The following is an 18,979-nucleotide window of genomic DNA, read 5'->3' on the forward strand; positions in this document are numbered from 1 at the left end:
ACCCTGGAGAAACAGAGATATATGACCTTTCAGATGGAGAATTCAAAATATCTGAATTGAGGAAGTTCAAAGAAATTCAAGATGACACAGAGAAGGAATTCAGAATTCTATCAGATAAATTTAATAAAAGATTGAAATAATTAAAAAGAATCAAGCAGAATTTCTGGAGCTGAAATATTTAACTGGCATAGTGAAGAATAGACTAGAGTCCTTTAGTAGGAGAACTGATTAAGCAGAGGAAAGAATTATTGAATTTAGAGACAGCTATTTCAAAATACAAATTCAGAGGAGACACAAGAAAAAATAATAAACAAATAATGAAGCATGCATATAGCATCTAGAAAACAGCTTCAAAAGGGCAAATCTAAGAGTTATTGGCCTTAAAGAGGAAGTGTAGAAAGAAACAGAGGTAGAAGGTTTATTCAGAGATAATAACAGAGAACTTCCTAAACCTAGAGAAAGATATCCATATCTGAATTCAAAAAAGGTATAGAACACCAAGCATATTTAACACAAAAAAGACTACCACAAGGCATTTAATAATTGAACTAAATGCCCACAAGAGAAAGCAGGAAAGATCTAAAATCAACACCATAACGCCAAATTTAAAGAACTAGAGAAGCAAGAGCGAACAAATTCAAAAGCTAACCGAAGACACGAAATAACTAAGATCAGAGCAGAACTGAAGGAGATAGAGACATGGAAAAACCTTCAAAAAATCAATGAATCCAGGAGCTGGTTTTTTGAAAAGATCAACAAAATAGATAGACCGCTAGCCAGACTAATAAAGAAGAAAAGAGAGAAGAATCAAATAGATGCAATAAAAAATGATAAATGAGATATCACCACTGATCCCACAGAAATACAAACTACAATCAGAGAATACTATAAATACCTCTACACAAATAAACTATAAAATATAGAAGAAATTGATAAATTCTTGGACACAGACACCCTCCCAAGTCTAAACCAGGAAGAAGTTGAATCCCTGAATAGATCAATAACAAGTTCTGAAATCAAGGCAGTAATTAATAGCCTCCAGTATTTTTCTAAGGTATGTTCAGTGCAAACTATTTCAAAATAAAGCAATTTATTAAAAAATTACCTACTATGAGAACTTAGTTAAATAAATTATGGTACATCTAAAGACTGAATATTTAGGAATTAGGGATAATGTGGCCAAAATTATATGAATCTATGGAAATGCTAAGGTTCTCAATGAAAAAACAGCATAATAATAAACACTATTTCTAAATTGTATCGCCTTTAGGAAAATGCTGAATCCTGTTTACTGGAGGACCTTTGCTTTGCTGAGCACCTTGATGGAAATGATCATGAAAACTGTGGTAGCAGGTAGCAGGTAAGACATAATTTAATTATTCTGCAAAGCACATGGTACAGCAGGTGAAATTATGTTGGGAAAATCCCGGAGGGGTAGAAATGAGCTAGTAAGGAAGTATAGGAAGAAAAATCATATATACCTGTTCTAAGCTTGACCAAGAAGAAACTTTAAAAAACAAAAACATATGAAACAAATTTTATATTGTTTTCTCTATGTAAGTGATCACTGGGTGTAGTAGTCAGGGACGCAGGGGAATTTAGGGATGTGATATAAATTCTCTCTCCTAGCTCCTCTACAAAATTTTTAATAAAGTTCACACTTCTTAACAAGGCTTTTATGCAAGTAAAGTCACTTGGTGAAAACTGAGACTGTACATAGGATGAATAAAGAAGAGTTGCCTATTGGGAATAAGAAATTATTTTTTTAAATATAATCCTCGTATTTAAAAAATGATATGTGAGAATTTTATATGTATATTCATGTGGGTTATGTGTATGTGTGTGTGTGTGTGTGTGTGTGTGTGTGTGTGGAGATAGATGGGTGAGAGAGATTGAGATTGAGATTGGAAGTACATGCACAAAACATATTAAGAGTGATTACCTTTAAGGGGTAGGTTTATGTAATATTAATTTTTCCTTAGTTAATCTGCATATTCTACTGTTTGTGCAATGAAATATTTTTCTTTTAAATCAGAAAAAAATCCACAAATTGGCTAGAGGCATTATATTAATGTTAACATAAAAATGGCTTTCTTGTCTTTCTTTCTTCTGTATAAATACCTTCAGCATGCATATTAAAAACATTTAAAGAGCCATGGAACTAAGAGTGCATTAACTTCATCATGACATATTTTGAGCATTCTTATTCTTTTTCAGATATGGCAGTGTTTAAATCGTCCATGCTAAAATAACGTATTTTTCTTTAAACAGTAATTGACAAGAAATTTCTCTTAATTTTCCTAGCATAATTATGGTTAGATTGCAAAAAGATAAGACAGATATTTGCTTTTGCTATGGTTTGAAGGTGTTTTCTCCAAAATTCATGTTGAAATTTAATCCTCATTGTGGTAGTATTAAGAGGTGGTGTCTTTTTGAAAATGTTAACCATGAGGACTCTGCCATCATGAATGGATCAGTGCTTCATAAAAGGGCTGGTGGAAACTAGCTTAGTCGCTTTTTGTCCTTCCATTTCTTCTGCCATATGAGGACTGAGTGTTTGTCCCCTCTGGAGGCTGCAGCAACAAGGCAACATCTTGAAAGCAGAGAACTTTCTTCATCAGACACCAAACCTGCTGGCACATTGATCTCGGACTTTCTGGCCTCTGGAACTGTTAGAAACTAAATTTCTGTTCTTTATAAATTACCTAGTCTCAAGCATTTTGTTATAGGCATCATAAATGGACTAAGACAGCCTTCATCTGGGGCAAATAACCATTTGAATTCTCTCAAGTCTGGCATAGTAGAAATAAATACCACATAAGTAGAACCTCTAAAGGAGTGCTTCTCAATTATCTGCAATGAAAAAACAGGGTGTTTTTGTTGGCAACCTGTTGTCTAAAAGTACATTTGTAAAATGTAATAAAATGAATTATTGAAAAAATACTGACTTCTAGATCCTTTTGACATAACCCTAGAAAAAAAAAGAGCGAAAAGTCGCAAAAACATTCCAAATATAAACCCAAATATCTTAATAGATTGACCAGGTATAACATAATTTTGTCAAATGGCTATAATTTCTGAATACGCACTCTCAACTTCTGTACTCATCTCTTTGTAAACTAGCAATGATTTGTGAATCAACATGCGCTATAAATCACACTTTGAATAGTTCTGAAGCAGGTAGTAGAAAAAGTAGGTAAAGATAGGTGGGAAATTTCTTGTCCTGTTGTATTCATATTAGCTGGACTATAAACATATACAGTTGTAATCTCTGTATTTGAAAATTGATGTGGAAGAATCTGGGAATTGTAAGACCAAGAAAATATAATGAATGGGAAAAGAGCTTTCATAAATATATGTTACAACAATTAGGATTGTTAAACAGAAAAGAAAAAGAGAATTCTCCAAAAATATAAGGGTTTTTTTGCTTTACTTTTTTTGTAAAAATAAAATATAGATGCAGAATACTATATGAAACTAATTTATAGCTTACCTTATCATGAGGCAAACACCATTGTAAGCACTAGCCAGGTCAAACAATAGAACTTTTGTCAGCCACTCAAGAAGCCCCTTCAGGTATCTTATCCATATTATAACCCTCTCCTTTCTCCCTCCAAAAAGTAATCATTACCTTGACTTTTAGAAAAACATATTGCTTTCATTTTCTCACACTTACATCACTGAAGTTCCCCATCCATCCCTTTCTTTTCCTCATAATTTATCTGCTGAAAGACTTAGACCATTTAACCTGGATTTTGCTTTATTCAAAATTGTGAAACACTTCAAAAGTTTCCTCTAATCTTTGTGTTTTCTACAAATTGGCAGCTGGATTCACAGGTTTCATCACATTCAGATATGATCCCTTTGGCAAGGCTATAAATGGTCAATATAATACTCTTAACTAAGAAGCATAGAATGTTCAGTTTCATTATTTTATTCATTGATGGGTATAAAATGTTGATAATCTATGTTTTTAATTTATTAACTGGAATAGTTTCACACAGAGACATTTCCACTCATGTAATATTTGTTTTGACACAGATAATATATAAATGGAAAAAAAGTAATTATTGTTAAAAATTGATTTAACAAGTTTTCAAGATAATGAATTAGTTCCCTATCCACCTCAGGTAACATTTTTTTTCTTGAATTCATAATCCATAATTTGAAATTCTCGAACTAAATTTAAATTGAGGACTATGATTCTTAAACTCATTTTTTCTGCATTAAACCTCTAACTCCTTTCTTTCATATCAAGAATTCTGGGTCTTCAAGACACAATGGATAATATAAATATAATAACCTATTTTTGCTCATTTGCTTTATCCCACACTACTCATTAAGCTGTCTCATAATAACAATACTACTGCTACTACTATTAATTATGATTACTGAAAAATAAGAGATAAAAACCCATAAATGCAATCTGTAACATTCTTCTATTAAAGTTGTACTATAGCTATATTGTCAGAGCACACAGCGATATTGTACTACAATTGCTTCCTTTTAACTCTCATTTTGTCTTAATTTTTCATATGGGTATATATTTAGTTCTCACTACCAGTCTTTATGTTTCTATCTGTCTGGTTATTTTGATTGCCTGATACTTGTTCTCTTGTAAATTATTTAGGAAGAAGCCCTGGGAACAATATTTCCTAAGTTCTCTCTTACTGATAATTTGGAAGTTTACCTATGGGATTCAGGAAGACCCAAAAACTATGCTACCACCAGCACCACTATTTTCCCAGAATCTGATGCTTTGGTTTTTTCTAAGGGGTGTTGAACACTTTTTATTCTCCACAAAGGGCTAATTGCAAATTAAATTAAGGATGAAGGAATTCTGGATGACTTTCTTGAAAACTTTGAAGAGATAATAGAATAAATATTCTTCTGCCTGGTATAGTTAGCAGATTATCTGTATGAAAGCTATGGAAATGAACTAGCTAATCTCTTCAGATTTTAACTCTGGAATTCCAAGAAATAGAATTAAGGCCCCCATAAAAGAATAGTTCTAATTTACAACTGGGGTGTCTCTAAAGTTGTTTGACATTGAGATATATATATACTTTGAATGTATGTCTCCTCCAAATCTAATGTTGAAATGTGATTTCCAATGATGGTGGTGGGGACTAGTGGGAGATGTTTGGGTCATGGGAGCAGATCTTTCATAAATGGCTTGATGTTGTCCTCATGGTAATGAGTGAGTTCTCATCATGTGAGTTGACAAGAGATCTGGTTGTTTAAAAGAGCTTGGCACTTCCTCCCTCTCACTCTTTTCATCTCTCTCTTGCCGTGTGACACTGACTCCCCTTCCCTTCCACCAGTATTATAAGCTTCTTGAAGACTCACCTCAGGAAGAAGATTCCTGTACTATGCTTTATGTATAGCCTATAAAACCATGAGCCAAATAAACTTTTCTTTATTAATTACACAATCTTAGGTATTCCTTTATAGCAATGCAAACATACTAACACAGGTATGTTGGTTAGAATAGTGCCAGTGTGTCCGGAATTGGTGGGTTCTTGGTCTCACTGACTTCAACAATGAAGCCGCGGACCCTCGCGGTGAATGTTACAGTTCTTAAAGGCGGCGTGTCCGGAGTTTTTTCCTTCTGACCTTCAGCTGTGTTCGGAGTTTCTTCCTTCTGGTGGGTTTGTGGTCTCGCTGGATCAGGAGTGAAGCTGCAGACCTTCGTGGTGAGTGTTACAGCTCATAAAGGCAGCTCTTAAGGCGGCGCATCTGGAGTTGTTCGTTCCTCCCAGTGGGTTCGTGGTCTCACTGGCTTCAGGAGTGAAGCTGCAGACCTTTGCCGTGAGTGTTACAGCTCATAAAGGCAGTGTGGACCCAAAGAGTGAGCAGCAGCAAGATTTATTGCAAAGAGTGAAAGAACAAAGTTTCCACGGTGTGGAAGGTGACCGGAGGGGGTGCCACTGCTGGCTCAGGCAGCCTGCTTTTATTCTCTTATCTGGCCCCACCCACGCCCTGCTGATTAGTCCACTTTACAGAGAGCCCATTGGTCTGTTTTCACAGGGTACTGATTGGTGCATTTACAATCCCTGAGCTAGACACAAAAATTCTCCAAGTCCCCACTAGATTAGCTAGATACAGAGTGTCCACTGGTGTATTTACAAACCCTGAGCTAGACACAGAGTGCTGATTGGTGCATTTACAAACCTTGAGCTAGTTACAGAGTGCCGATTGGTGCATTCACAATCCCTTAGCTAGACATAAAGATTCTCCAAGTCCCCACTAGACTCAGGATCCCAGCTGGCTTCACTCAGTGGATCTCGCACTGGGCCGCAGGTGGAGCTGCCTGCCAGTCCCGCGCCGCGGCCCTGCACTCCTCAGCCCTTGGGCGGTCGATGGGACCGGGCGCAGTGGAGCAGGGGGCGGCGCTCGTCGGGGAGGCTCAGGCTGCGCAGGCGCCCACCGCGGGGAGGCGGGGCGGGGAGACTGAGGCATGGCGGGATGCAGGTCCCAAGCCCTTCCCCGCGGGGAGGCAGCTAAGGCCCGGCAAGAAATCGAGCACAGCAGCTGCTAGCGCAGGTGCTAAGCCCCTCACTGCCCGGGGCTTGCGGGCCGGCCTGCTGCTCCGAGTGCTGGGCCAGCCGAGCCCACGCCCCCCCGGAACTGGCGCTGGCCCGCAAGCGCCGCGCGCAGCCCCAGTTTCCGCCCGCGCCTCTCCCTCCACGCCTCCTCGCAAGCTGAGGGAGTCGGCTCCGGCCTTGGCCAGCCCAGAAAGGGGCTCCCACAGTGCAACGGTGGGCTGAAGGGCCAGAGTGGGCGCCAAGGGCGAGGAGGCGCCGAGAGCGAGTGGGGGCTGCCAGCACGGTGTCACCTCTCACCAGTAGTTGTGATTTTTGCTGTCACCCCCATGGATTATGAATTCACTTTGTCTGGGTAACAGTGGAAACCCTCGGAAGTTGTTTCCACTGTTTCATCTAAAAGAAGTCGCCAAAACGAAGTTTTCTCAGTGCCAAAGCATGGACTCAGGTGAGTTGTAGGAAGATGGAAATAAAATAAGTATGTTAAGAAGCTCTAGCGCTATATGCAACATTTCAGTCAGAAAGGTGAGAAAGTGAAAATAAATTTGGTTTTGCAGAAAGAAAATAGATTTACCTTTGCATTTTGTACCAAGGAAAACCAATTTAATATTGATACAATAGAAATATAAGTATGGAAGTAATACCCCTGCAATAATTCAGCTTTTGGTTTTATAAAAAGACATTTCCCTAGTTGCAATTATTTATTTATATGCCACCAATAAATTTGTTCTTATTATAATGTAGTCTGAAAATTAAGGGGTTATTTTTAAGACATTTCAAGGCTTAATGTTGCTATATTATGCACTTTGACATATTCTGCACAAGTAAGACCAAGTCTAAAAAATTGTGCTTTATCGGGGCTGCCTCTGTTTAAAAAGTTTATTAACAAACTGACACATTTCTAAAGAAAGAAAAGTGAAATGTCTAAGGGTCTGATAGTTTACATAAAGATAGTTGATATGGGGATTTTTAGCCTGAAGAAAAGTCTTAAAGAGATAATATTTTAAGCTACTAAAAAATATTTGAGGGATAAGATACAGGATTACTTACTCTGACTCCAGAAGGGAAAACTAGATCCAAAAGTGAAAGTATTATTGAAACAGATTTTTAGATCAATACATGGACAAACAGTAAAAAAAAAAATTACAAAAATTGGCTTTCTCAAAAAGTAGTGAGTTTCTTGACACTGAAAGTAATGTATCAGAGGATGGCTGAGTATGTTTGCATCTGTGAAAGATTTTATGGAACACTTGGAAAGGGAGGAAAGACAGTTATATCCCTGCTTTGAAAAGGAGACAAGAGTATGGTATACATGGTTTCAGACATACATTCTGAATCTAAAACGAAACACGTTAAACTAGACCACAAATAACTTTTTATAGTGAATTCCTGTTTGGCTTTGACTTTTCCCTGTCATTTGAGAATAATCAAGGTATGATAATATTTGCAACCCATCATTTCATTTCAAAACTTTGATTCATGGCGTGAGGCCTAATCTCAATGCAGTATCATCTTACTAAACGTTAGGACACTTATGTTGTTACATACAACCCAGAATTTTTTTAAATTTTAAGACATTAAGAAAAGTCTTTCATTAACTAATTTATTCTAAAATAATATATAAAATAGCAATGGAATAAATTCAACAAATGGAAGTTATTAATAGAGTACCTATAAGTAGTCCGCCATCAGTGAGATTTTTATGGAAATGAAATGGTCTGTATCTTGATTGCAGTTGTGGTTACAGAAATTTATTCATGCCTATTTCCTGGTTTCATTAGACGTTAACTATTGACATAAACTGGGTAAAGGGTACATGACACTTATCTGTACTTTCTTTGCAAATTCCCATGAGTCTATAAGTATTTCCAAATATAAAGTAAAGATGTTAACTATTGACGTAAACTGGGTAAAGGGTACATGACACTTATCTGTACTTTCTTTGCAAATTCCCATGAGTCTATAAGTATTTCCAAATATAAAGTTTGAAAATAAATAGTAATAAAATACGTTCCCAGGTGCTCACCATCTTGGTGTATTTCTCTCTATGTACTGCTTAATTCAGGGATTCTCAAGGATCCATTTAAACTCATAAAATTATTGAAGACCTCAAAGGGCTTCTGTTTCTCTCAGTTATGTCTATTGTTCTTTATCATACTAGAACTTAAACCTGAGGAAATTCTAAAATGTTTGCCTTTTTATATTTAAGAAGTATGTAATAGTGGTAATTTCAGAAAATCTAAATATTCCAGTAAGTCTGGGAGAAGGCAAAGTTGGAAATAGCAAGATTTGGGGCTTATGATCTTCTTGTTTATGTTTCAAGCCATTATTGCAACAAATATTATTCTCATTATTCTCTGTGATAATACATTTTTCACCCTAGTCTTCACCCTGGCCTTAAGGTATGATAAATCTCTCCCATTCTTACCCTCAAAACAAGCTTCTTATGGGGCAGTAAATCAAGAGAGGCTTTTTGAATTGTTTTGTTAAATAGTAAGTATGACTTGGGCATGATAATAAGCTTTGATAATAAAAACAAAGATTCAGTTGTTCAAGATGTACATGTTCTGGAGTTCTGCTGTGTAACATGTTGCCTATAGTTAACAATACTTTATTGTGGACTTAAGAGGGTAGGTCTCATGGTGTGTTCTTACCGCAATAAAAAAGAAAGAGGGATAAATTGTAGGTGTAAAAGACAGGGATACTTGATGGAGTGAGGCAAGAATAGTCAGGGAATGCTGGGGAAAATATTAACATGTGTAACTGTGTGTAGTTAGGAACATATGAGAGAGTAGGAGATAGAAGTGTGGATGAGAGGTAGATAGATACTTTGGGGAGGACAGGATGAAGCATTAATAAGTTATTATTTGTTATTTCTTATCATTAGTAACAACTCAGAAACACTATGTTTACATAATCCAACTGACTGTTATTAAAAGGTAACAAGTAATAAGTTCTTTATGTTTTATCATGTTCATGTTTAATTTGAGTATAATAAACCCATTATAGTTTAACTGAGATAATATTTTATAACTTTATTTTAGAAAATAAAAATGTAATGAATAATGTAGAATGCCTGGCTTACTGAAGACAGGTGGATTCTAAGATCTGATTCTACATTCAATTCACTGCATTGTGTTATGGTGGTTGAAGGATGTGAAGAAAATCTGCTTACATAGATATGTAGCTAGAAAAGAGAATCTTCATAGATTATCAGACTATGGGTATCATTCTGCAATACTAGACTGAAAGGCCACATGAGGAAGTTTTCTAAAGGCTAGTTACAATATGGAATAAAAAAAATCACATCAATAGACTTCTCATACTCTGCTTTATTCAAATCTATTCATCAATTTCATAGTTAATGGATCTTTTATCCATATACATATTTGTAACATCATGCATAGATAATGTGTACAATAACTTCTATTTAAAAATCATGTTCCTTGTAACTTTATTTGTGCTCAATAATTAAAGGCTTTACCTATAGTACCTTCCTTTGGAGAAAGCATTTTTTTGTTTTATCACTTGAAAATTAAAATTTCAATTTTTAAATTTTTTATGGTAATGGGGCATGTTTGGTATTAAGAATTAAATTCCAAGTCTGCCTGATTCGAGCAGATTGATGTATGAGTTCCCTAGGCCTGCCATAACAATGCATTTCTGATGTTTTAAGCCACCCATGACCACAAGCTGGGTTGCTTAAAACACCAGAAATGTATTGTCTCATATTTCTAGAGGCTAGAAGTCTAAAATCAAGGCATTGACAGGTTCCTGCTCTCTCTGAAACTCCTAGGAAAAGATCTTTCCTTGGTTCTTCTTAGCTTCTGGTGCAACAATCCTTGGTGTTCTTTGGCCGGTGGATGCATCATTCTCATCCCTGCCTTCATTTATGCATGGTGTTATCCCTCTCTGTCACTTCTACTTTCCTTATAAGGGCACCAATCATATTAAATTAAAGGATCACATTACTCCGTACTATCGCATCTTAACTAATTACATCTGCAATGACCATATTTCCAAATAAGATTACATTCTTACTTTCTAGAAAGGACATGATTTTCAGGGACTAACCAGACTCCGTACAGTCTTACCTTTGGACTCCCCCAAATTCAATCTGTCTCCTGTGCAAAATGCATTCATTTCATCCCAACATCCCCAAAAGTCTTAACCCATTTCACATTAACTCTAAGCCCACAATCTCATCTAAATGTCATCCAAATTAAGTATAGATAAGTCTCTGGGTGTGGTCCATCTATGGAAAAATGTATCTGTGTTCACAAATGTTATCTGCTTCCAAAATATAATGATGGGATAGGGAATAGACATTTCCAATCTGAAAGAGACAAAATTGGCGGAATAAAGAGATTACTAGTCTGAAGCAGTCTGCACCACAGAATGAAAAATTCCATTAGTTTTTAAGACCTGAGAACAATTATCTGTGGATCAATGCTCTGCCTGCTTCAGTCCATAATGGGAATGTTTCTGCCAAGATATTTGATTGGATCCGTAAGTCAGTTGCCTAATCTTTTTATCAAAAGCTTGTTCAGCCTCACTCTTGGCCCTGTTTCCAGAGCATAATATCTACATAGGCTGAGAATTTTCCAAATTATTCAAGTGTAGATTCCTTTATGATTAGCATTTTATTCCTCAATTTATCTCTTTCTGCTAGCATTTTACTGTAAGCAGCTGGGAGAAACCATGCTGTACCTTTCTTGCTGTGCCGGGAAATGTACTCAGCCAAATACACAAGTTCATTGCTTATAATTTCTAATTTCCACAGAACGATAGACTAATTCAGCCATGTTTTCTGCCACTTTCCTAACAATGATTACTTTTTTTCTCTGCTGTTTTCCATTTCTGCCTGAGGCCTTATCAGAAGTGTTGTTAATGTTCATATATCTAGCAAGATTCTGTTCATGACAAGATATGTATTTTCTAAGATGACCATAGCTTTCTTTACAGCTCACCTCACTTCTTTCCAGCCCTCCACAGAATCACCTTTCGCTTTCATATTTTAACCAAAAGTCTCCACAAGGCAATATAGGCTTTCTCTATCAAAACCCACAAACTTCTAGTCTCTATCCATTATCCGATTTCAAAGTAACATCCACATTTTTGGCATTTCTTATAGCAGCATCATACTACCCAGTACCAAAAGCTGTTGGTAGCTTGTGCTCTTTGATTGCTAAGTAACATTCCCTTGTATAATTTTACCACATTTTATTTATCTATTTACCAATTGATAAACATTTGAATTGTTTCCATTTTGTGACTGTTATGAATAAAGTTCCTAAAAACATTTGGATGTACATCTTAATGATATGCTTTCACTGGTCTTGGTAAACATCTACGAGTGGAATTGCCAGATTATATAGTGTGATGGTTAATTTTATGTGACAACTTGACTGGGCTAAGGGATATCCAGAAAGATGGTAAAACATGATTTTTTAGTGTGTCTGTTAGGTTGTTTCCAGGATAAATTAGCGTTTGAATCAGTAAACTGAGTAAAGAAGATTGCCCTCACCAATATGGGCAGATATCATCAAGTCAATTGAGGGCTCAAATAAAACAAAAAGACGAAGAACAAACTCTCTCTTTCTCTCTCTCTCTCTCTCTCTCTCTCGATCTCACTGAGCTAGAGCTGGGGCATCTATTTTCTCTTACCTTCAGACATCAGAGTTCCTGGTTTTCCAGCCTTCAAATTCCTGGACTTAACATCAGTGTGTCCTCCATGGTTCTCAGGACTTCAGACTCAGATTTGGAATACATCATCAGCTCCCCTGGTTCGCAGGTGTTTTGACTCAGTTTAAATTACACTACCGGGTTTTCTTGTTCTCCAGTTCACAGAGAGAAGAGAGTGGAACTTCTTAGCCTTTGTAATTACATAAACCTATTTCCATAATAAGTCTATATCTAATTATAGATAGATATATCCATTTGGTTCTATTTATCTGGAGAACACTAATACATATGGTAAGCGTATGGTTAATTTTTAATTATAATTTTAAATAACATTTTTAGATTCACAGTAAAATTGAGTGAAAGGTACACAGATTTCCCAAATACTCTTGGCTCCAAAACATGCATATCCTCCCCATACCTACATCCCCCACCAAAGTGGTACATTTGTTACAGTTGTTGAACCTGCATTGACACATCATTATCATTCAGATTCTATAATTTACATTAGGGTGCACTTTTGGTGTAGTACATTCTATGGGTTTGGAAAAATGTGTAATGATATGTATCCACAATTATGGTATTGTACAGAGTAGTTTGACTGCCTTAAAAATCTTTCTTCTGCCTACCTCTCCCTTCCTCTTCCCTATCCCCTGGTAACTACTGATCCTTTTACTGCCTCCATAGTTTTGCCTTTTCTATAATATCATATTGTTGGAATCATACAGTATGTAGTCTTTTCAGATTGGCTTCTTTTATTTAGTAACATGCATAAATTTTCTTCATGTCTTTTCATGGCTTCATATCCTATTTATTTTTTGCACTGAATAATATTCAATTGCTGCATGTACCACAGTTTATGTAATCATTTATCTACTGAAGGGCATATGAGTTGCTTTCAGCTTTAAACAATTATAAAGTTTCTATAAACATCTGTGTGCAGGTTTTTGTGTGGATATAAACTTTCAAATCCTTTGAGCAAATGCCAAGAAGTGTAGTTTATGGATTATGTGGTAAGAGGATGTTTAGGTGGAGAATATGCCAAACTGTCTCCCAAAGTGGCTGTACCACTTGCCATTCCAATCAGCAATGAATGAGAGTTTCTGTTGTTTTACAACCTCTCCAGTATTTGATATCAGCGTTCAGGAATTTGGGTATTCTAATAAGTGTGTAGTGGTATCTCATTGTTGTTTTAATTTGTATTTCCCTGATTACATATGATATGGAGCATCGTTTGATATGCTTATCTTTGATCTGTATATCTTCTTGTTTGAGGTGTCTGTTCAGAACTTTGATCCATTTTTCATTAGTGTGGTTTGTTTTCTTATACTTGAGTTTTAAGTGGTCTTTGTATATTTTAGGTAATAGTCTTTTATTAGATACATGTCTTGAAAATTATTTTTTCTAAGTCTGTGGCTTTTCTTTTAATCCCTTTGACAGATAATTTTGTGAAACAGAAGTTTTTAATTTTAATGAAGTCCAGTTTATCAATTTTTAATGAATCATGCCTTTGGTGTAATAGCTAAAAAGTCATTGCTAAATCCAAGGTCATCTACATTTTGTCTATGTTATCTTCCAGGAGTTTTATAGTTTTGTGTTTTACATCTAGTTCTGTGATTCATTCTGAGTTATTTTCTTGTGAAAGTTATAAAGTCTTTGTCTATATTTATCTTTTACATGTGGATGTCCAGTTGCTTCAACACCATTTGTTGAAAATATGACCTTTCCTTCATTGTATTGTCTTTGCTTCTTTTTCAAAGATCAGTTTACTGTAGTAGAATTTTTGAATTTACAACACAATATCATTTACATTAGCATTTCCCCCAAAGGAAATATTTATGAATAAATCCATCTATCTATCTATCTAGACTTGGAGATAGATATATATATATAGATATATATATATATATATATATATATATAAACATAAACATATATATACACACACGTGTGTGTACATGTGTCTGTGTGTGTGTGTGTGTGTGTGTTCGGAAAACTACAAAACTCTGATGAAAGAAATAAAAAACTAAATAAAAAATATTCCAGGTCCATAGATAAGAATACTCAGTATTGTTAAGATGTCATTTCTTCCCAACTTCATTTATGTATTCAGTAAAATCACAATAAAAATTTCAAATTGTTTTGTAGCTATCAACAAACTGATTCAAAAGTTTATGTAGAAAGGCAAAAGACCCACAACAGCCAACACAGTATTGGAGGAGAACAAAGTTGGAAGACTGACACTACCTGAGTTAAAGACTTACTACAAAGCTACAGTAATCAAGATAGTGTGGTACTGCTGAAAGAACAGACAAATAGATCTATGATTTCATCTACTTGGAACAGAGTAAAGAAATATGCACACATAAATAGAGTTAGTGGATGCATGGTTAACTATTTAAAAAATTGTAAAACTGTTTTAAATTAGCTTGAACATTTTTACTTCCCTCCAGAAATATGTTAGAGATACAGTAGGTCCACATCCTTGGTATTGTTAGTATTTTAAAATTTAGGTATTCTAGTGCTACTTAGTTTAATGTACTGTTATGCCCCACAGTACACTGGCATTTATGTTTCTAGGCTTTTATTAAGTCTATTACCTGAAGATAAGGGAGGCAAAGGAAGACCTTTGATAGGTCATACAGCATTCTTTTGTGTTTATAATTTTGCTATTTTTGTAGAGGAAAATATCTTAAAAACCTACGACAATCTACATGGATATTACTCTGACAACTCATATTAGTTATGTATGACTTTACCATTAAGGGCACCATTCAGTAAATTCTCAATTAAATCTCAGATTTAAAAATGCTCGACATTTAGGATTATTTTCTCTTATTGGATTCAGATAACAGTTGTATTGGATGTTTCATATCATATCCCTCTTGACATGAAAAAAAGTGGCAGGAGCATAAAACTATCTAAAATATTTGCTAAGGAAACATCTTTGTATACATCAGGCTTTACTACAAATTGCATTACAAGTAGTGATTTGTGGCTATTGGCATTCTTTAAAGCACCCGTATTTAAACTTCCCTTGTTGAGAAATGTAAGAAACCTTTATATTAGAGTTGCTTTAATGAGTTATGTTAAATGTATATTATACCTATCTATCCATCTAGATATAGATTGAAAGGTTTCCAAAATTTGCATTGCTCTGACAAGAACCAAAAAAGAAAAGCAGTGTATCCAATCTTCCAGAATGTGAGTTCTTAAAGAAAAAGGAATTCTGTTTACATGGAGCATAAGCCAGACTTAGACTGCTGAACCTCAGAGATACCAGGATACCAAACTGCAGTTCCTTTCACCAGTTTGCAACTTAAAAGGATTCCAACACTAAATGGTCTGAAGGCTCAAAGTAAGACACACACCTATTTGTGTTTAACACTCGATTTCCAGATAACAACTAAATGCATGATTTTACTCAATTAAATTAAAAGAAATACAGAATACTTTGTAGTGGCAAATTCTTCCCTCGAGTGCCATTTGTGATTATTGAAGCACTAATTTTGACTCATTTTCTTCAAATGACAATATTTAAATTAGTTTTTGTGCCAGAGGTGACCATCGTAAACAATAAAAAGGTAGAATATAAAATTATATTAATTCAATTTCTTTTAGCTTTGCAGAATGAAATTATGTATTCCAAGAGACATGGAAGAAAGAATCCACACTATTAAAATACATTCTAGCTCTTCAGGCCTAAACTTTAGATGTAAAACAGAGACGTAAATAGAGAGTCATTGCCACTGTGTCATCACTCATTTCCAATGCTAATCTGAATATTTACCATATAATCAGTTGGAGGCCTGTCATATCACCACTGAAAAGGTTGAAAAAAAGGTGTATGGATCTCAATATCCCTGTGATTAGTAGAATTCCATTATTTTAATATATCCCTGCATAAACCCAAGAAGAACTTACCTCAAGTTTGTGTCGGTCCAAAACTTACAATCAGTAATGCTGAATGCAAATCATTTACTAATTATGTACCACAAAATTTAAGACAGAGTTAGCTAGATAAGAAAGCTACTTCAAGGGCACTCATGGGACACTAGGGGAGCATTTAGAACAGTGTAGAATCAAGCAAATAAAAAGTTGATTTGTGAAAACATATGTAGATGGCTAACATCTGGCTCCCAAACTTGTGTATCCTCCTCACATATTTCTATGGAAATGAGTAGAAAGAGGTGTTTTCCTAGTTTGTGAGTTAAATGTGGATGTGCAGAGACAACAGAAGATTTTCTCCTTATGACTTAGTGATAAATGCAGAGGTAAAATTTTATGTTATTTATTTCTCAACTTGAGCCTCCACAACTAGGCTGAGTAGTGTTGATGTAATTAAGGACTCTGAAAACACCTGGTTTATTTGAATGATAGTATTTACATTAAAAGCATTTTGGATTCAATTTATAGTCTCTACATGTGCATCAATAAATTAAAAAAAGTATAAGGGGTGAATAGGAACATAACCTGAATCCTGTTAATCACAGTGACACTGGCTTACGTTAATTTTTTTTAAGCTTCGGTGTGCATACCTGGGTGAACTCCTAGAAGATCTCCAGCTAGTCTACAATAGAGCAGCCAATATGAAGAGCAATATGAGCCTTAGGAATCAAAGTACACCTGTACTCCATTTGCTCCATTGAATTTAATACAATTCATAGACTATGAAGAACTTTCTATGTTTACAGCAGAGTGCTGGATTTGGAGATGTATACAATGATCACTGAAACATAATGCTTCCTTCTACAGTAATATTGACTTTTGACTATGTTCAAGGTTTGAGACCTCCTTAAAATGGCATTCTTCTAAGATTTATTCCATTCTGGATCTTGTTTTCAAGCAGAAATATTCACTAAATTATTTCATTCATTCATTCATTCACTCCAAGTCACTTCTGTGGCACTCATCATGTTCCAGCATCCAGGCAATATGGTGGAGATAAAGAGATTAATAAGTCACAAACTGTGTCCTAAACAGGTTCAGAGTCTATTAGAGGAAGATAGATAATATAAAAATTAACCTTAATACAATGCATTAAATTTTAGAACACATATTAAACATATATGTAAATATTTGCTTCCATGTTTGACTAGAGGACATTTTACGTGTGACATCCTGATGATATAATAAGTAAATTAACTAGATTATTCAAAATGAATGTTATTTGCTTCTTATAAAATTGAATTCTGGAGTAAAAAGACTTAATACAACCTAATTTGAAAAATAGTCTGATATTTATTTAAAATAAATCCAGATAAAATTTGCAGCACTATTCTTAATTGCAAAGACATGGAATTGCAAAGACAAAGACAAGCCAGGCAGAGTGGTGAGGGGTGTGTGGGTGAGTGAGCATGGGATTTTGTGACTGCACACAGCCAGACACCCCTGCTGCTGTGGCAGGGTAGGCAGCTCTAGGCGCTTGCACAGGTGCTGACTCCCTGCAAGCCTGTGGCTAGGCCAGAAGTACTACACGTGGCTTATGCTGTGGGCACCCACATCTGGACAAGGATAACACAATGGTGCCCAGAAGCTTGAAGATGCCCTAAATGTCTATCAATGGTAGACTGGGTAAAGAAAATGTGGTACATATACACCATGAAATATTATGCAGCCATAAAAAAGAACAAGACCATGTCCTTTTCAGGAACATGGAGGCCATAATCCTTAGCAAACCGAAAAGGGAACAGAAAACCAAATACCACATGTTCTCACTTATAAGTGGGAGCTAAACGATGAGAATATATGGACATATAGAGGGGAAAAACACATACTGGGGCCTTTTGGAGGGTGGAGGATGGGAGGTGGGAGAGGATCAGGAACAATAACTAATGAGTGTCATGGGATCCTTGGGGTGTTGCTTTGTTAGTCAGAAACTTCTGGCCAGTGGTGCCTTTGGCCTGAGTACTATTCGCGTCCACTGGGCTTGGTCCGCTCACTTGGCCCCGCAGGCTGTGCTTGACTCATGCTATCAGCTTAGCTTCCACCCTTGCCAAGGGCAAGCCAGGCACAGAGTGGTGAGTGGTGTGTGGGTGAGCAAGCATGGGATTTCATGACTGCATACAGCCAGGCACTCTGGCTGCTGTGGCAGGGCAGGCAGCTCCAGGCACTTACACAGGTGTTGGCTCTGTGCAAGGCTATGGCTAGACCAGAAGTACCACACATGGCTTCTGCTGTGGGCACCCACATCTGGACAAGGATAACACGATGGTGCCCAAAAGCTTGAAGATGCAAGGAACCACAGAGCCCCAAAGAGGGTGTCACAGCCCTGGCTCAGGGACCCTCTAGGTCTGGGATCACCAAAGGGCTGCAGCTCTTCTGTCCATGTTACCCACAACATGGCAAGCAGGATGTGTGGCAGGGGGATGGGCATGCTTTAGCTCTGTTTGTGTTACAGCTCTTTTAGTCCCACCATTTGGTGGGTCCCGAATTCTTGTCCCACGTCCAGGAAGAATGAGGTATGTGGCCAACTGAAGGGTGAGCAAGGCCGAGAGGAGTTTCATTGAGCAACAGCGTAGCTCTCAGGAGACCCACAGTGGGTAGCTCCTTTCTGCAGGCAGGTTGTCTCGGTGAGTGTCCAGTTCTCACTGGAGAGATCTGCAGTGGGTAGCTCCTTTCTACAGCTCCTTTCTTCTGAATGTCTGTTCCATTATGGCTGAGTCCAGAGTTTTTATGGGCTCAGAACAGTGGAAGTGCATGCTGATTGATCCATAATGTGCGGGCTCAGAAAAAGCACCACAAGTTCTCAC

This window comes from Homo sapiens, chromosome X, assembly GCF_000001405.40.
Source record: "Homo sapiens chromosome X, GRCh38.p14 Primary Assembly".
Classification (NCBI taxonomy): domain Eukaryota; kingdom Metazoa; phylum Chordata; class Mammalia; order Primates; family Hominidae; genus Homo; species Homo sapiens.